Source organism: Homo sapiens, chromosome 17 (genome assembly GCF_000001405.40).
Source record: "Homo sapiens chromosome 17, GRCh38.p14 Primary Assembly".
Classification (NCBI taxonomy): Eukaryota; Metazoa; Chordata; class Mammalia; order Primates; family Hominidae; genus Homo; species Homo sapiens.
This window is the reverse complement of record NC_000017.11, coordinates 61,762,344-61,781,950: the sequence shown is the minus strand read 5'-3', so window position 1 is coordinate 61,781,950 and position 19,607 is coordinate 61,762,344. Positions and strand designations below refer to the sequence as shown.

Here is a 19,607-nt window from a genome sequence, read left to right as displayed (position 1 = left end):
ATATCACATTTTACTTTTTTTTTTTTTTTTGAGATGGAGTCTTGCTCCGTCACCCAGGCTACAGTGCAGTGGCGCTATCTCAGCTCACTGCAACCTCCACCTCCCGGGTTCAAGTGATTCTCCTGCCTCAGCCTCCTGAGTAGCTGGGGTTACAGGCGACTGCCACCACACCTGGCTAATTTTTGTATTTTTAGTAGAGACGGGGTTTCACCATGTTGGCCAGGCTGGTCTCGAACTCCTGACCTCGTGATCCACCTGCCTCGGCCTCCCAAAGTGCTGGGATTACAGGTGTGAACCACCGCGCCTGGCCACATTTTATTATTTTTAAGCTTAACCATTTTCTAGATTCTTATTGAAAGCAGTTATACACTGGATGGGATCACAGATATCATCTGGTTCAGCACCTTCATTAAAAGTAGATGAAGGCTGAGACTCAGGTTTCAAAGGAATGTAAGAATTTTATAACTTGTTGCTAATACTTTAAAAACTTTCAGTAAAAATTATCCTTCTATTTTCTCATTTAATAAAAAAGTATAACCCACCTTTTAGTCTCTTTAACCATAATACTGTTTTCTATTTTGTAACTCATCATGTAGTAGAGCATGCAGAGAGCTCTGGACTGGGAGTTAGGAGGCCTGGATTTTAATTCTGCTTCTGCCATGACATATGTAATGTTTGAAAATGAGGTTAGGAAGTAGCTGATAAAAGATAGATGGTTAGATGATTTCTAATATTCCCTCTGAGAATCAGTTGATTCTATGATTAATGGCTTTATTAATATCAGAATTACTGAATTTAATTAATGGTAAGGAGAATGTTATTTTTGAATGGGAAGGTACCAGCTCTTTCAAATGAGTTTTAATGTAATCAGTTTTTATATTGTATGTAGCTGGGTCATAGGTTTTAAAAGTTTTGCCACTTAATTAGCACTTTCTTTGCATCTAGATTTGCAGATGATTATAAAATTGCGATTCAACAGACTTACTCCTGGACAAATCAGATTGATATTTCAGACAAAAATGGGTTGTTGGTTCTACCAAAAAATAAGAAACGTTCACGACAGAAAACTGCAGTTCATGTGCTAAACTTTTGGTGCTTAAATCCAGCTGTGGTAAGCTCATCATGTAAATGGAAATTTTGTCTTCTTGCTCAGTACCAGCATTTTAATAAATGTGGTTGACTCTTTTAAAGATAGTTGTTTGTTGTTGTTGTTGTTGTTGTTTTGAGGCAGGGTCTTGCTCTTCACCCAGGCTGGAGTGCAGTGGTGCAATCTCAGCTCACTGTAGCCTTGACCTTCCAGGCTCAAGCGATCCTCCCACCTTAGCTTCCCGAGTAGCTGGGACTATAGGCATGTGTCACCATGCCCGGCTAATTTTTGTATTTTTTGTAGAGACGGGGTTTCACCATATTGCCCAGGCTGGTCTCAGACTCCTAGACTCAAGCGATCTTCCTGCTTCAGCCTCCCAAAGTGCTGGGATTACAGGTGTGAGCCACTTTGCCCAGCCTCTTCTAAAGATAATTTTATTTATCTAATGTTGTTTTCTTTTAGGCCTTTTCAGATATTAATGGCAAAGTTCAGACCATTGTTTTGACATCTGGTACATTATCACCAATGAAATCCTTTTCGTCAGAACTTGGTGTTACATTTACTATCCAGCTGGAGGCTAATCATATCATTAAAAATTCACAGGTTAGTTGTTGTTTTTTTTTTTGGAAGGCCTTCAGTGTTTCTACTTCAATATAACTATGTAAACAAGTTAGAAGATACCTGAAGTGCCAGCAAGTAAATCTTGGTAGGAAATTCAACATTCCAGTTTTACAATAAAAGAAAATCTGTCAGCTACTTAATGATGTGTCAACAGAAGGAAATAATCCAGTCACTTGGGATGCAAAAGGCTGTATTTCAGCTTCTTCTTCTAAGTAAGTTTTAGTTTTGTAATGAAAACAAAATTTTGATTTCTTTAATTCTCATTGTATAATTATGTTTTATTTATTGATTGATTGATTTTTGAGACAGAGTCTGGCTCTGTTGCCCAGGCTGGAGTGCAGTGGTGTGATCTTGGCTCACTCGTGTTTAAGCAATTCTCCTGCTTCAGCCTCTCAAGTTGCTGAGATTACAGGTGTGCGCCGCACGCCTGGCTAATTTTTTATTTTTTTGGTAGAGATGGGGTTTCAGCATGTTGTCCATTCTGGTCTTGAACTCCTGCCCTCAAATGATGCACTTGCCTCAGCCTCCCAAAGTGTTGGGATTACAGGCGTGAGCCACTGTGCCCAGCCTATTTATATTTTATTTATTTTATCTCTGTATTTTTATTTTTACTTTTATTTTTTGAGACAAGGTTTTGCTCTGTCACCCAGACTGGAGTGCAGTGGTGCGATCTTGGCTCACTGCAGCCTTCGCCTCCTGGGTTCCAGCGGTTCTCCTGCCTCAACCTTCTGAGTAGCTGGGATTATGGGTGTATGCCACCATGCCTGGCACATTTTTGTATTTTTAGTAGAGACGGGGTTTTGCCATTTTGGCCAGACTTTATCTTTTTAGAGACAAGGTCGCTTGCTATGTTGCCCAGGCTGGCTTCAAACTCCCAGGCTCAGGCAGTCCACCTGCCTCAGCCTCCTGAGTAGCTGGGACTACAGGCATGTACTACCATGCCCAGCTTGTATAATTATTTATGCTTCTCTTTTCCATTAGACTACAGTGTATCCTGATTCTTCCTTTTACATCCACGTTCTTCCTCTGTGCCTAGATTAATAGCTGGTATTTAGCAAGTGTTCAGCATGTTTGAATATCTGAAATGAGTTAAAAGTACTCTTATGAGTCCTATGATTTAAGATTTTAATGTTTTATAACGATGGCTACTAAATGTTATTTTAATTTTTGTGGAAATGTATAGATTGTTATTTTTCATTATGCCTTCTGGTTTCTTTTTATGAAATATTTTAAAGTGGTTAGGCACACAGGTGATGTTAAGCTGTGGTTAATGCTAAAGTGGTTAAGTTAACATCACCTGTGTGCCTAACACAATGCTAGCTCTTTATTAAGCTATATACACAGGTTTATAGGTGGGAACATTTTTGGTCCTCACAATTACTTGGGAGCAACTACGGCATTTGGTAGTTGGGAACCTAGAATGCTACTCCTATGTAACTAAGAATTGTGCTTTCCAAATGCCAGAGTGTTCCTGCTGAGAAATGTGACTATGAACAGCAGTGAAGGAAGAATACATGTTCCACGTTTTCAAGTTGCTTTCTTTAGAGACACAGATAAATATGGGAAGTTGGTAAATTCAGCATACGTTTTCTCATAAGAATGTTATTACAGGCTCTATGTTCTCAGCCTACTGCACAAAAGTCCATTTAACCTATAATGTCGCTGAATTATAATAATGTAGTTGTGCAGCTGGATTCTGTTACACTGTAATATTTTCCTTCAACTTAAAATTTAAAAAACTTTTAATTGTGGTAGAATATATATAAAATTTACCATCTTAACCATTTTTGAGTATACAGCTCAGTCTTATTAAGTATGTATATGTTGTTGTGCAACCAATCTCAAGACTTTCTCCTCTTGAAAAACTGAAACTCTGTTCCCATTAAACAACAGCTCTCTATTCTCCCCCTCTCCTCAGCTCCTGGTAACTACCATTCTGCTTTCTGTTTCTATGAATCTGATTACTATAAATACTTCATATAAGTGGAATCATAAAATATTTGTCGTTTTTGTGACTGGCTTATTTTACTTAGTAATGTCCTCAAGGTTTGTCCATGTTGCAGATAATGTCTTCAAAGTTCATCATCTATGTTGTAGCATGTGCCAGAGTTTCCTCTTTAAAGGTGAATAATGTTTCTTGTGTGTATATGCCTGTGATTTATAATATATATATTTGGTCTTCCACTCCATTTCCTGGCATACAACTCCTAAAATCCTTAGAATCTCCAAAGTGACATTTTGTATGCTAATGAGATGACTAATGGTAGGGGGCTCCTAGGTAGCATCAGGATCAGGGCTGGCCTCCGGGAAGACCAAGACATGATAGGAGAGTTGGGATTTTCACCCCCATTCCTCAACCTCTGGGGAGGGCTTGGGGGAGATGATGCTAAAGGTTAAGTTTATCTTAATGGCCAGTGGTTTAATCAATCATGCCTACATAATGAAGCCTCCATAAAAACCTAGAAGGACAGGGTTCAGAGAGCTTCCAGATAGCTGAACACTTGGAGGTTCCTGAACACTTGGAGGGTGATGTGCCTGGGAATTGAAGCTCTGAGCCCCTTCCCACATACATCTCTTTATCTGTATCCTTTGTAATATTTTTTCTAATAAATCAGTAAGTGTAGGTAAATGTGTCCCTGGGTTCTGTGAGCAGCTCTACCAAATTAATTGAACCCAAGCAGAGGGTTGTGGGATGCCCGATTTCTAGCTGATCAGTCAGAAGTGCAAGTAAAAACAACTGTGACTGGCCACAGAAATCAGGGGCAGTCTTGGGGACTGAGCCCTCAACCTCTGGGATCTGAAGTTATCATCTCCCAGTAGATAGTATCAGAATTGAATTGAATTAGAGGACACCCAGTTGATGTCTGTTGCAGAATTGATTGCTTGGTATGTGGAAAAAACCTCCCACACATTTGGTCACAGAAGTTTTCTGTGTTGATTGCTGTGGTGTGAGAGCAAAGGAAAAAGTTTGTTTTTTTCTACTCAATGCTACATTTTGATCATTCATTCATTGATTCTTTCAACTGTATTTCAAAAAATTAGAAATTTCAGAAAAGTTGGAAAGATAATATTAATATTGTGAATATCTTTATATCCTTCACCTAGATTCATCACTTGTTAACATTTTGCAAAATTTTCGTCTCTCTCCCTCTCTCTACATATAAGGGAGATAGAATTGCAAATAACTGTAAGATGTGGTGGGTGTGATTTTTTTCTATGACTAAGGATCTTTGAGCACCAATGAATTTTTGAAAGAGTAGTTCCTGTCATTTTTGAGACTTGCCTATGGCAAATTATACTGGCCTTCATCCCCAGTATTTTGGAATTATCTGATTCTGCTATTGGTATATATTCATCATTTCACTTGTTCATTTATTCACCTAACAAAAATTTGTTACATGCTTAAATTTTGCAAAGCTATTAAGTAAACAGAGACAGGTACAACCTGTTTTGCTTTCAAAGAATTTTCACTCTAAGAGAATTTAGTGATCTGCCTAAAGCAAAACATTTATAAATTAAATCTGTATACAGTTAATTGAAGGTAATAGAAAACCCCCTGACAATTTAAAAATAAATTGTTAAACTTGTTGCTTGATCTTTTATGTACATACTTCCAAATAAATACTAATTTCCATGCCTTTTTCAGGCATAACTCTAATAATGACATATTCATATTCTAGGTTTGGGTTGGTACCATTGGGTCAGGCCCCAAGGGTCGGAATCTCTGTGCTACCTTCCAGAATACTGAAACATTTGAGTTCCAAGATGAAGTGGGAGCACTTTTGTTATCTGTGTGCCAGACTGTGAGCCAAGGAATTTTGTGTTTCTTGCCATCTTACAAGGTAAGGGAATATTTATTGTTTCTTTTGCCTTTAAATAATCATTTACATTTTAAACATTGGCATGCTAATTTTAAAATTACCACAGTAAGCTTCCTAGGGTAGAGGCAACAAGGTAATAACTATAGTTTTCTAAACATCACATATTATTTTACTTATTTTTTGATTAAGATACTGCCTGATTGTCCTACCTCTGTTTTACTTAAAAGTCTGAAAGAGCAAGGCTGGACGTGGTGGCTCATGCTTGTAATCCCAGCAGGTTGGGAGGCTGAGCTGGGAGGATCACTTGAGCCCAGGAGTTCGAGACCAGCCTGGAGAACATGGTGAAACTCTGCCTCTACAAAATACAAAAATTAGCTGGGTGTGGTGGCACACACCTATAGTCCCAGCTACCTGCGAGGCTGAGGTGGGAGGATTGCTTGAGCCCAGGAGGTTGAGGTTACAGTGAGCTATGATTGCACCCCTGCACTCCAGCGTGGGCAACAGAATAAGACTCTCTCTAAAATAAAATAAAATAATCTGAAAGAATAAAAGTCTTCAAGCAATGTTAATTATATAGGAGAAGTGTTTATGTGTACATTTTTATTCTTAGGGACAAGTCGATATTTTCAGAGTAGAAAGAAACAGAGCATTCTTTTTTATTTTCATAAATTACATTTCTGAAGGTTTCATTAAAGTTAATCTAAGCCAAACTTTCTTCGTTGCCCTCATTTTACTTCATGTATCTGGCCAGAAGAATTTTGTTGTTGTTTTTAGAGTCACTGATTTTTAATAATTTTTTTTAGTTAATTTGAAATTATTTAGTATATTTTGGTCCTCCTAACATTCAAAGCATTGAAACCACTTATAATTCCTGAAAGTAACATCACATTGCATCAAAATCTAACCTAAATCCAATGTAGAGAAGTGGCGTTCCCTTCTCTTTTTTCCACAGGAAGTTATACCTCTAAGGACAGAAGCATTTGGAAGTAATATATTTGAATGACAATATTGATACTTTTGACTCTTCTACTGTCTTTTTATATATATGTACTTTGATAGCTAGGGATACACTAAAGCAATTAGTCTCTTGTAGATAAATTAAAGGATTTGTTTTCAAAAACATATTTAATCAGATAATTTTTTACAAGAATATCTAAAAATAAAACGGACATAAACATTTTTTAAAATTCTTAATGGAAAACAAGATTTATTCCAGTGTGAACATCTACACCAAACAGTTATATTTAGGAAAACTAGTAATTAAGCTTGATACTAAGTCATACAATAAAACTTGTAGGGAGTTGGTCTTACCTAATAAAATTTTTAGGACTTTTAATTCTTAAATATGGAGACAAATATCTTCCGGGAAATTGGAAGAAAAGTTATTTATGGGATTATGGAAACTGTACTCACTCCACAGTTATGTAAGCGATTAAAGCAAAATCTTATTTCATTGCTAAAACCTTTTTATATTTTCCAGTCATAGTCACAAAAAGGGAGATAGGAGATGTCTGGGTGACATTTTTCTGCTAGGCTTGGAATGCATATAGCAGACAGTATGAATTTTAGTTACAGACATTTATAATTGGGTGACTAGAGACTATAACATTGAAATAACTTTTTAGTGACTGTATATATATTAGCAAAATGAATAGATTATTTTTCTGCTTCTAGCTTTTCAATTAAAAATAAAGACACAGGAAATCCTTCGAATATACTTTGTTCCAATTGAGTTTATTTCTTTGATTGCGAAATTAATTGTTCTGCAGGTTTTTGTTTAATTTTTTTGTGGCTTAAAACAGTAAACATTTATTATCTCATAGTTTCTTTTTTTATTATTATACTTTAAGTTCTAGGGTACATGTGCACAACGTGCAGGTTTGTTACATACGTATACATGTGCCATGCTGGTTTGCTGCACCCATCAACTCGTCATTTACATTAGGTATTTCTCCTAATGCTATCCCTCCCCTAGGCCCCCACCCCAGAACAGGCCCCAGTGTGTGATGTTCCCTACCCTGCGTCCACATGTTCTCATTGTTCAATTCCCACCTATGAGTGAGAACATGCGGTGTTTGGTTTTCTGTCTTTGTGATAGTTTGCTGAGAATGATGGTTTCCAGCTTCATCCATGTCCCTGCAAAGGACATGAACTCATCCTTTTTTATGGCTGCATAGTATTCTATGGTGTATATGTGCCACATTTTCTTAATCCAGTCTATCATTGATGGACATTTGGGTTGGTTCCAAGTCTTTGCTATTGTGAATAGGCTGCAATAAATATACGTATGCATGTGTCTTTATAGTAGCATGATTTATAATCCTTTGGGTATATACCCAGTAATGTGATGACTGGGTCAAATGGTATTTCTAGTTTTAGATCCTTGAGGAATCGCCACACTGTCTTCCACAATGGTTGAACTAATTTATACTCCCACCAACAGTGTAAAAGCGTTCCTGTTTCTCTACATCCTCTCCAGCTTCTGTTGTTTCCTGACTGTTTAATGATCACCATTCTAACTGGTGTGAGATGGTATCTCATTGTGGTTTTGATTTGCATTTCTCTGATGACCAGTGATGATGAGCATTTTTTCATGTGTCTGTTGGCTGCATAAATGTCTTCTTTTGAGAAGTGTCTGTTCATATCCTTTGCCCACTTTTTGATGGGGTTGTTTGTTTTTTTCTTGTAAATTTGTTTAAGTTCTTTGTAGATTCTAGATATTAGCCCTTTGTCAGATGGGTAGATCGCAAAAATTTTCTCCCATTCTGTAGGGATGGGAGCCTACAGAATGTTCTGTAGGCTGTTCACTCTGATGGTAGTTTCTTTTGCTGTACTGAAGCTCTTTAGTTTAATTAGATCCCATTTTTCAATTTTGGCTTTTGTTGTCATTGATTTTGGCGTTTTAGTCATGAAGTCCTTGCCCATGCCTATGTTCTGAATGGTATTGCCTAGGTTTTCTTCTAGGGTTTTTATGGTTTTAGGTCTAAGATTTAAGTCTTTAATCCATCTTGAATTAATTTTTGTATAAGGTGTAAGGAAGGGATCCAGTTTCAGCTTTCTACATATGGCTAGCCAGTTTTCCCAGCACCACTTATTAAATAGGGAATTCTTTCCCCATTGCTTGTTTTTATCAAGTTTGTCAGGTTTTGTCAGGTTTTGTTTTTGTCAGGTTTGTCAATTAGTTGTTCTGCAGGTTTTTGTTTAATTCTTTTAAAATTTTTGTTTATTGTCTGCTTGTCTTGGTTGTATTTGTCTTTTTAATTGATTTGTATGGGCTTTTAAATATATAGTGTGGATAGTAATCCTTTATAATACATATCATTAAAACCTTGTTGTTTGTCATTAAATTCTTTAATTTCTTTTTTAGCTTTAAATATCTTAATTTATCAAAATAATTCTTATACATAATTAAATAATGTTAGAATGGTTATAATGAAAAAACAACAGCTCCCTTCACTATACTACTCCTCCTTTCTTCCCAGTCCCACATCCCCAGAGGCTTCGCAGGTCTTTGATTTATTTTTCTGATATTTATTGTCATTTCTAATTGTGGTGAAACATGCATAACAAAATTTAGGTTTTTTTTTTTTTTTTTTTTTTTCTGAGATGGAATTTTACCCTTGTTGCCCAGTCTGGAGTGCAATGGTGTGATCTTGGCTCACTGCAACCTCTGCCTCCCGGGTTCAAGTGATTCTCCTGCCTCAGCCTCCTGAGTAGCTGGGATTGCAGTCATGTGCCACCACACCCGGCTAATTTTGTATTTTTAGTAGAGATGGGGTTTCTCCAGGTTGGTCAGGCTGGTCTTGAACTCCCGACCTCAGATGATCTGCCCGCCTTGGCCTCCCAAAGTGCTGGGATTACAGGCGTGAGCCACTGCGTTCGGCCTTAGCATTTTTTGTGTGTGTACAATTAAGTACATTCACAATGTTAGACAACCAAGACCACTATCTATTTTCAGAACCTTTCATCATACCAAATAAGAACTCTGTTCCCACAAAATAACTCCCCAGATTCCTTTTCCCCATTTCCTGTTACCCTCTAGTATTCTTTCTGTCTCTGTGAATTTGGCTATTGTAGCTACTTCATATAAGTGGAATCATACAGTATTTGTCCTTTGTTTCTGATTTATTTCATTAGCCATAATGTTTTCAGGGTTCGTCCATCTTGTAGCATACATCGGAATCCTTTTTATGGCAGAATAATATTTCATTTTATATATATATATATATATATATATATATATATATATATATATATATATATAATCTCACATTTGCTTATCCATTCATCTGTCGATGGGTATTTGGATTGTTTCTACCTTTTGCCTGTTGTGAATAATGCTGCTATGAACGCTGGTGTACAAATATCTATTTGTGACCTTGCTTTCAATTCATTCGGATATATACCTAGAAATGTAATTTCTGGATCTTGTGATAATTCTAAATGTAACTTCTTTTTTTGAGATGGAGTCTCACTCTGTCACCCAGGCTGGAGTGCAGTGGCATCATCTCAGCTCATTGCAACCTCCGCTTTCCAGGTTCCAGTGATTCTCCTGCCTTAGCCTCCCGAGTAGCTGGGATTACAGGTGTCCGCCAACATGTCTGGCTAATTTTTGTGTATTTTTAGTAGAGACAGGGTTTCACCATGTTGGCCAGGCTGGTCTTGAACTCCTGACCTCAGGTGATCTGCCTGCCTCGGCCTCCCAAAGTGCTGGGATCACAGGCGTGAACCACCACGCCCAGCCTAAATTTAACTTTTTGAAGAACCACCAAACTGTTTTTTTTATAGTCAATGCATAATTTAGATTCCCATCAGCAGTGCACAAGGATTCCAATTTTTCCACATTTTTGCCAATACTTGTTATTTTATGTTTTTTTTGATAATAGCCTTTCAAATGGGTATAAAGTGTAGTATCTCCTTGTGGTTTTGATTTGCAGTTCCCTGATGACTAGTGATGTTAAGTATATTTTCATGTGCTTATTAGTAATTCAGACATCTTCTTTAGAGAAATGCCTATTCAAATTCTTTGCGCATTTTTGCATTGAGTCATTTTTAGTATATTCACAAAGTTGTGTAATCATCACCACTGTCTAATTCCAGAATATTTTTCTGACCCCAAAAAGAAACTCCTAACTCATTAACAGTCACTGCCTACTCTTACCTGCTATTCCCTAGTATCCACTAATCTGCTATTTCTATAGATTTGCCTTTTCTGAACATTTCATCTAAATTGAATCATACAATATGTGACTTTTTGTGTCTGGCTTTTTCACATAGTGTAATGTTTCCATGTTCAGCATTATAGGATGAATTAATACTTTATTCCTTTTTATGGCTGAATAACATTCCTTTTACTTTCAACCTATTTGTGTCTAAATTTAAAGTGTGTCTCTTATAGACAGCATATAGTTGGAGCATTTGAAAAATTCATTCTGCTTATCTCTGCCTTTTAACTTGAGTGTTTACTCCATTTACGTTTAATGTAATTAGTGCTAAGGTAGTGTTTACAAATGCCACTTTGCTGTTTGTTTTCTGTATATCTGGTGCCTTTTCCCCCTCTATTTCTCTATCATTGCCTTTTGAATCTAATAGATAGATATTTTCTAGTGTGCCATTTAAATTTTTCTAATGTGTCACTTTAATTCCCTTGGCTTTTCTTTTACTGTGTATTTTTTAGTTATTTTCTTAGTGGTTGTCCTAGGAATTATATTTAACATCTTATGTAGTTTGGATTAATACTAATTTAATTTTCAATAGAATGCAGAAGCTTTAATCCTATGTAGCTGTTTTTTTAATCCTACCTTCTTTGTGTCATTATTATAAAAATTACATCTTTACACATTGTATGTCTCTCAACACAGATTTACAATTATTACCTTTTGCAACTGACTTTCAAATCAGATAAAAAAAATTAAAAACAGAATACATTTTATATTGTCTTTTGTATCTATGTTAAAACACATTTTATACTGTCTTTTATAACTACCTTGTAGTTATCTTGACCAGTGCTCTTTAATTAATTCTTAATGTGGACTTGAGTTACTCTCCAATGTCCCTAAAAACTTATTCTTAAATAGAATCTGAGCCTTGCAGCTGTCTCTCTCTGTTGTAATCCTCTGCTGTTATACTGGAGCCCTGTTGATGTGGTGGTAAGGTATGGGGAACAGGAAGCATCTTCTAATCCTATGATTATGTCTCAGTCTTTTAGCATGACTGTGTCCCTTGCCTGTGACCTTCACAAGTGTTTCTGAGCTCTTCATTCATATCATAAGATTAGATGGCAGGGAGCTGCAGTTTAGGAAATGATCCCTTCCCTCATGTTGGATAAGGATCTGGTAAAATCTTCCTTACTGGCAGACTGGCCATTGTTTTAGAGAATGCGTTGAACGTATTTCAAAATGGTTGTTTTTTTCCCTCCTCCTGCCCGAAACAGTAGGGTTTTTCTTGGCTCTTTACTGTGGGAACCTGGTGGGATTTTTAGAGGTAATGTCTTAAAAATTGTGGGCCCCCTGGCAAGACTGCAGCCCCTAGGAGTTTCTCACTTATAAACTAGTTCACATTTTATCTCCAGCAATTCATCAATATTATCTTTTAACTATTTCTGTCAATTTATGTTTTAGTGGCCGCTGTCCCAGTAAGCATATCTTGATTCTCTGTATTTACCTGTCTCTCCAGATTTCAGGGTGGCAGTTTGCCTTGTGACCTCAGTTCTCAGATGGATCCCAGAAAAGTAATTGATTTTTAGTTTGTTTAACTTTTTTCTGTTGTAAAACAGGTGTGATGACTTCCAGTTCTTTACATATTGGAGCTGAAATCAGAAGTCCAATAAAATTGGCAAAAATAAATTTGCTACTGAGTTTCAGAATCTAGTCATAAGAGCAAACTAGCACATTATTATAATCTTTTGTCAGTACCGTTGTCAATTCTCACATAGTACAGTGACTACAGTTATTAAATGTATTAATATTATGCCATCTAGTTTTCATTTCAGAGGGGTTTGATACTGACCATGCAGAAGACAGAAAGCCTACATTAGAATTCATTTCAGGGGGACATGAGGAACCAGGATTGAAATATAATTAGATGGGTTGTATTAGTTCTATGTTGCTGCATAACAAATTACCACAAAATTAGCACCGTAAAACAGTACACATTTATCATCTTACTCTTTCTGTGGGTCAGGAGTCTGGGCATGGCTTATCTGGGTTTTTCTTCTCAGTGTATTACAAGGCTCCCAGCAGAGTCAACTGGGGTTGTGGTCTCACTAAAGGCTTGACTGGGGAAAGATTAGCTTCCAGGGTCCCTCAGTTTGTTTGCAGAATTTATCCCTTGTAGTCGTAGGACTGAGTGAGATACCCAGTCTTTTGCGGGCTGTTGGCTAAGGATGACTCTTAGGTCTTAAAGGTTGCATTCAGGTCCTAGTCATATCGCCCTCTCAACAACGTGGCAGCTTATTACTACTACTACTTTTTTTTTTCCTTCTTCAAAGCCAACAAAGGTGTCTCTTCTGTAGGGGTGCATTGTATCTTTTAAGGACTTTTACCTGATTAAGTCAGGTCCACCCAAGATAATCTCCCTTTTGATTAACTCAGAATCAATTGAGGTAGACCTTAATTACGTTCATAAAATCCCCTCATCTTTACTACATAATATAATCTAATCATGGAAGTAAAGTCTTATTTTTATCTCACAACGGGGAGAAGTTTATGCAGGTTGTATATAGGGAGTAGGAATCTTAGGGGCTATCATAAACTTTTTATCACAGGGGTTAATTTATCAGGGTAAGAAAAAGGTTAGGAAGAACCATTAGAATAAAGATTTGTGACTATGGCATATGAAAATATTAATAGAAGTGAAATGATATTTATGAAATTTAGGTAGCAAAGGCATCACAACTGCACATAATAATCTTTCCATAAATGCTTGATGAATAAACACACGAATGGATGGAGACTAACTCTTATTGTTCCAAGTCTTTCTTACTGCCTTTGAAGTTAGAGGTATTTTAGAACTGCAAACTAAAATTCCTGTGATTTCCCGTAGAGCAATACAGCCTAATTCCATATACTAATACTTATTTTGTATTGAGAAAGAACTTTAAATATCTTTAGTTGAATTTCTTTAAAATACCAAAATATTTATATTGAGAGCCTTGCTTATATTATATTTAAGATCTTCCTGAGAAATCTCATAACTTTACTTCACATTTATTTTTATTTACTTAATCCATTGAAGAAATCATTATTGAGTACATACTTTGTGCGGAGGACTGCACTAAGTCCTGTTAAAGATTCAAAAATAAACAAGTTACTGTCTCTTCAAGAAGATTTCAGTTTGGGTTGTGGTATAAAATAAGTGTACACATCCTTGCATTATTTGACAAAATTTGTAATCATTAGAGAGATTAAGAAGAATGATAATGGAATTAAGAGTAGGAAGAGATCACATGTGATTGAATGAAGCAGAGGAGTTTCCTAGAGGAGGTGGTTGATATTTCAGTGGGTATTAAAGAAAGGTGGATAGATTTCTACTGGTAGATGTGGGAGTGAGGAATATAATATTCTGGACCAAGGAGACATGTATTAGCAAAGGCACAGAAAATATTTTCATAATCACAGAGTTTAGCTTGGCATGTGTGAAAATGTAATGTAAAGACTGGTTGCAGAGTTTCATAAAAGAAACATAGGATAAGGGCCAGGTGCGGTGACTCACACCTGTAATCCCAGCACTTTGGGAGGCCAAGGTGGGTGGATTGCCTGAGCTCAGGAGTTTGACATCAGGTTGGGCAACATGGTGAAACCTCATCTCTACTAAAAATCAAAAAGAAAGAAAGAAACATATGGTAGAAGTCTAGGCCCAGTGCAGAAGCCTATAATCCCAGCAATTTGGGAGGCTGAGATAGGAGGATCACTTGAGGCCAGATGTTCAAGACCAGCCTGGGTAACATAGAGAGACCCAGTGTTTAAAAAAACAAAACAAAAAATATCAGCCAGGTGTGGTGTTGTGAGTCCCAGCTACTTAGGAGGCTGAGATGGGAGGATCGCTTGAGCCCAGAAGTTTGAGGCTGCAGTGAGCTGTGATCACACCACTGCACTCCAGCTTGGCCAATAGCAAGACCCTATCTCTAAAAAAGAAAAATATATGTCTAAAGTTTTTCAAACCATACATTTTAGTGGTCATTTCTTCCCCCTTATATTTAATGGCCAGTTTTCTTCCTGTACTAGATAATTGGAATGGGTGATTTACTCAAAACTTTACTCTTTCACTGAGTAAAAACTAATATTCTTTTGATGTAAACTGCAGCATTTGTTTAAGGGTAAGAGTGAGAACGTTGTTCATCTAGTTTTTTTCCCCACATTCTTTCAGACCAATAGTTTATGGTAACTAGGAGGAATGCCATTCTTCCACTAAGATAAATTTGATTTTGACTCTGTTGTTATTTAAGTAGTAGCAGCATTGCTTTAGAACTCTCTGAAATTCATTTTTATGGGTAGAAGAGTTTCTAAACTCTTTATATGGACAGAGAAGTTTCTGTCCATATAAAGAGAATAGAAACTTTTCTATTAAATCATTTTGAAAAGAGACTCTCTGGTGCCAAAGTAACAAGTTGGATCTTTTTATTCATACAATACAGACTTCGACTTAAAAAAAAATACATCTTTATGAGTAATATGTATAAACCATTTTCCCTGAGGGCATATTTTACATTCATCACTGAATGTCAGATGAGGAATAAAATGCAAACATTCCTGTTCACTCTCTAGCTGTAGTTTTTTAAAGTATTGTTCAGCACTAAATTTGTATGTTAAGAAATTTGCAGTGCTACTAGTTTGTTTTGGTTCTCATTTTTAAAGCTGTACCGCACTTAACCTAAAGGAGAAACTAAATTGCTACATTAAAAAGTGTTTTTTTTCCCCTCGTGTAGAAGGCTGAAATTTCTATAGATATAAATTTGCTTTAAGTGATCAACTGAGCCTTTTGAAGAAATATTTTTTTCTACAGTGTTAAATAGAAAGAATCATTATGCCATTGAGGCTTTGGGATGTGGTAGAGAGGTTGTATATCTCTCAGGTTAGATGTAGTTCTTGAGAACTTCTGCTCTTGGTTATTAAACAAAAAGTATTCCTTTGTTTGTTCCTTTGTTTATTCATTTGACAAACATTTACTGGGCACATACTACATTCTGAGTAGACAATTCATATGGCTAAGGTCATACATTTAATTAGTGAAAGCATTTGCCTTAGAACTCCTGATTTTCTAGTTCAATGCTATCCTCGTAATAGTATTCTACTGTTTGAAATATAGTTGATCTGATAAATATTAATTTGACCTATTATTTTTATTTAGAACAATATGCACTTATATAAAAATACCTACATATTGGTATACCTATATTTATGTTTGCTTTTCACATTTGTTTTTGATTATGAGCTAAACTGTTAGGAAGATAGATATAAGAGCTACTCTGAAAGAGGATGTTAAAAAGCTGCTTTAACAATTGAATGAAAATAGTAGGGCAGTTGGAAAGTAACAATTTAATAACCAAGTTGTTTTTTGCTCTGTGTGTGTGTGTGTGTGTGTGTGTGTGTGTGCATGAATATAGTCATTTATGTACTTTCTATAAATAACATGAATATATTTGTATCACATCTGGTTTCAAAAAAGCTTTATAAAAATATATTGATTAGGCTGGGCATGCTGGCTCATGCCTGTAATCCCAGCACTTTGGGAGGCCAAGGAGGGTGGATCACCTGAGGTCAGGAGTTCAAGACCAGCCTGGCCAACATGGTGAAACTCCGTCTGTACTAAAAATTCAAAATTAACCGGACATGGTGGCACATGCCTGTAATCCCTGCTAATTGGGAGGCTGAGGCAGGAGAATTGCTTGAATCCAGGAGGCGGAGGTTGCAGTGAGCCAAGATCACGCCATGCACTCCAGCCTGGGCAATAAGAGTGAAACTCTGTCTCAAAAAAAAAAAAAAAAAAAAAAAAAAAAAATATATATATATATATATATATATATATATATATATATATATATAATATATACACACACACACACACACATACATATGTATGTGTATATGTGTATGTGTGTGTTTATGTATGTATATGTATTATAATTTTTAAGTGAAAAATCTAGGGAGAATAAAGGCAGAGAAGTTAAGATTAAACTAGAGTCAAGGATGTCCAGGTAACTTAGTTTGAGAAGGCAGTGTCTTGGTCAATTTTTTGATGCTATAACAGAATACCACAGACTGGACAGAAAGAAAATAAATTTATTTCTCACAATTCTGGAGACTAAGAAGTCCAAGTATCAAGTTGCCAGCATCTAGTAAGGGCCTTCTTGCTCCATCATCTCGAGGTGAAAGGTGAAAGGGCAAGTGACACAGAAAGAAAAAGCTCCTTTATTTTTTAAAGGCATTAAACCCATCCATGAGGACAGAACCTTTCTGGCCTAATGGTCTCTTAAATGCTGCACCTGTTAATACTGTTACAATGACAATTACATTTTAACATGACTTTGGGAGGGGACATTCAAACCATAGCAGGCAGGGATCAAGTAGCAAATTTAGAAGCTGAATTCATCCTAACTCCCTGTGCTCCCCCCACCCCCTTAGTTCTAAACTATTTTTCATGGATGTAAGGATAAATATAGGAAGCACTTTTGGGAAATGACAGACAAATTAGTTAAATATAACTTATGATTAATTTACTGTACATTTTACATATTAAAGCAATTTTTGAGCTTGATATGGACTAGAAAAACTTGGAGGTTCTAGTTGTTTCATCTTGGTTACAATCTTTAATATCTACCCAGTTAATCTTCATAATAGCAACCAATTGATTTTCCTTTTTGGCTGACAGTTTCATATTGGCACCTTTTGAATTTAGATGATTTGTGTGGTGTCAGGAGGGACGTTAACTTGATGCAGTGGTAGTCTCCAAATATACTTATCCCAGAGGTCATGGGACAAAAAAGTGACACCACATTGGGATGCTTGAATCATATAGTTTAGTAAAGATAGTTAAAACACACAGTGGGAGGCAAGGGGAGAGAGTTGAGGGTAGGTTAACATGTGAATACAATGTAAGTGGGTGGAAGGACCACACTACCTAAATCCTGGGCTGTGCAATGTTTATGTCTTGTCTTTCTCTTTTCCACATCAGCTCTCCTTTGCTGATGGTGTGCTTACAGAGACTAGAAATGAGGTTTATGCAAGGGGACCCAACAGATGCACAATTGACACACTTTATTAGAGTAAGGCCAGCGCAAATGCACTTGGCCACAGCTGTAGTCCATCAGTTTGCCTGCTGAGCTACAATGTATTTTATTTGCCTTTCTTGGGCAGAGGATACATGGAGCCAGAATGGGTGTCACCAATGGGTGGCTGAATAAGATTTTATGGATATTGGGTAGTATTTTATATGCCTCAGATATATTTAATGTATCTTGGATATTTGATACCTCATGTATATGTAGTGTATCTTGAATATCTAGTGTCTTTCCATCCTTTTTCATCTATGTTCATAGAGAAATGCTGTACTTACTTTATCTCTTTAATATGGCTTACACAGGTTTCTAACTTCTAGCTACGATTTTAACATTTTAAGAGTTTCACCCATCTATTTGGGTTCTTGTATTTTATATATTCTCAAATATACAGCAGATGCAAATTATAGAAGCGAACTCTCCCAATCTCTAGCCTTCGATTTTAAGATATCTAGTTAACTCAAGGGTTATTGCATTTTTGAAAAGTCTTTCAAAAGATACATCAGTCTCTACAGGACATGGTGAATGAATGGTTAGAGCTCATATCAGTGCGTTGGTTGTTTGCCTTTGTACAAAGTACTATTTCTGAGGAGTTTTTAGAAATAAGATTCACCTTGCTTGCCTAGTGTAGATAATGTTAGCTTGAAGTCATGCTAACATGAGAGATCATAAAGGAAAAAAGTCATCAAGGAAAAGATTCTACAGATAGCAGCTCAATGTAGAGAATACCATAGGTCACATGGTATTTTTTATACCAGTTTTAGGTTCACAGCAAAATTGAGTGGACAGTATAGACAGCTCTCATATACCCCTTTACCCGACACATGCACAACCTTCCCCACATTCCCATACCAGCTGCCCTGTGTCTGGACTTCTGACCTACAGAGACTGTGAGATAATAAATGGGTATTTCTTTTCATGCTACAACATGGATGAATCTGGAGGACATTAGACTAAGTGAAATAAGCTCGTCATAAAAACGGCAAATACACTATTACACTTATATGAGGTACTTAGAGTAGTCAAATTCAGAGATAGAAAGTAGAAGGGTGGTTGCCCCAGACTCTGGTAACTACCATTTTACTGTCACTTCTTTGAGTTCAGTTGTTTTAGATGCCACGTAAAGTAAGGGCATGAGACATTTATCTTTCTGTGCCTGGCTTATTTCACTTAGCATAATGTTCTCCAATTCCAGCCAAATGAACAATGCTACAGTGAACGAGGGAGTGTAGATATTTCTTCTGCAAACTGACTTCAAATTTTAGGGGTAAATACTCAGAAGTGAGATTGCTAGATCATAAGGTAATTCTGTTTTGAGTGTTTTGAGTAATGTCCATTCAGTTTTTTATAATGGCTGTACTAATTTACATTCTTACCAACAGTGTCCAAGGCTTCCCTTTTCTCCACATCCTCACCAACACTTTGTTATCTTTCATCTTTTTGACAGTAGCCATTGTTACAGGCATAAGGTAATGTTTCATCATGGTTTTAATTTGTATTTCCCTAATGATTAGTGATTTTGAGCATTTTTTCATGTATCTGTTGGTCATTTGTTGTCTTCTTTTAGAAATGTCTATTCAAATCCCTTGCCCATTTTTAAATTGAGTTATTTGTGTTCTTGCTAATGAGTTGTTTGAGTTTCTTATATATTTTGGACATTAACTCCTTATTGGATATATAGCTTGTAAATATTTTCTCCCAATCTGTAGGTTGCCACTTTGTTTATTGTTTTCTCTTTGTTGTAATTGCATTGGCCTATTTTTGCTTTTGTTGCCTGTGCTTTTGGGATCAAATCCAAAAAATC

General features: G+C 36.4%; 1 protein-coding gene across 22 annotated transcripts in view; it reads left to right on the top strand.

Moving 5' to 3' along the window:
- BRIP1 (BRCA1 interacting DNA helicase 1) overlaps window positions 1-19,607 on the top strand; it is a 184,390-nt gene that overhangs the window by 81,578 nt on the left and 83,205 nt on the right. For 8 of the 22 annotated variants that reach the window (XM_047436891.1, NM_032043.3, XM_047436892.1 and 5 more), the window contains exons 12-14: window positions 946-1,111; window positions 1,550-1,690; window positions 5,389-5,550. In XM_047436891.1, coding sequence (XP_047292847.1) covers window positions 946-1,111; window positions 1,550-1,690; window positions 5,389-5,550 — 469 coding nt within the window. Of the gene's footprint in view, window positions 1-945; window positions 1,112-1,549; window positions 1,691-3,172; window positions 3,706-3,771; window positions 3,832-5,388; window positions 5,551-19,607 lie in introns of those variants that run through there. The other 14 variants (XM_011525333.4, XM_011525332.4, XM_011525334.3 and 11 more) reach the window with 4 other exon arrangements.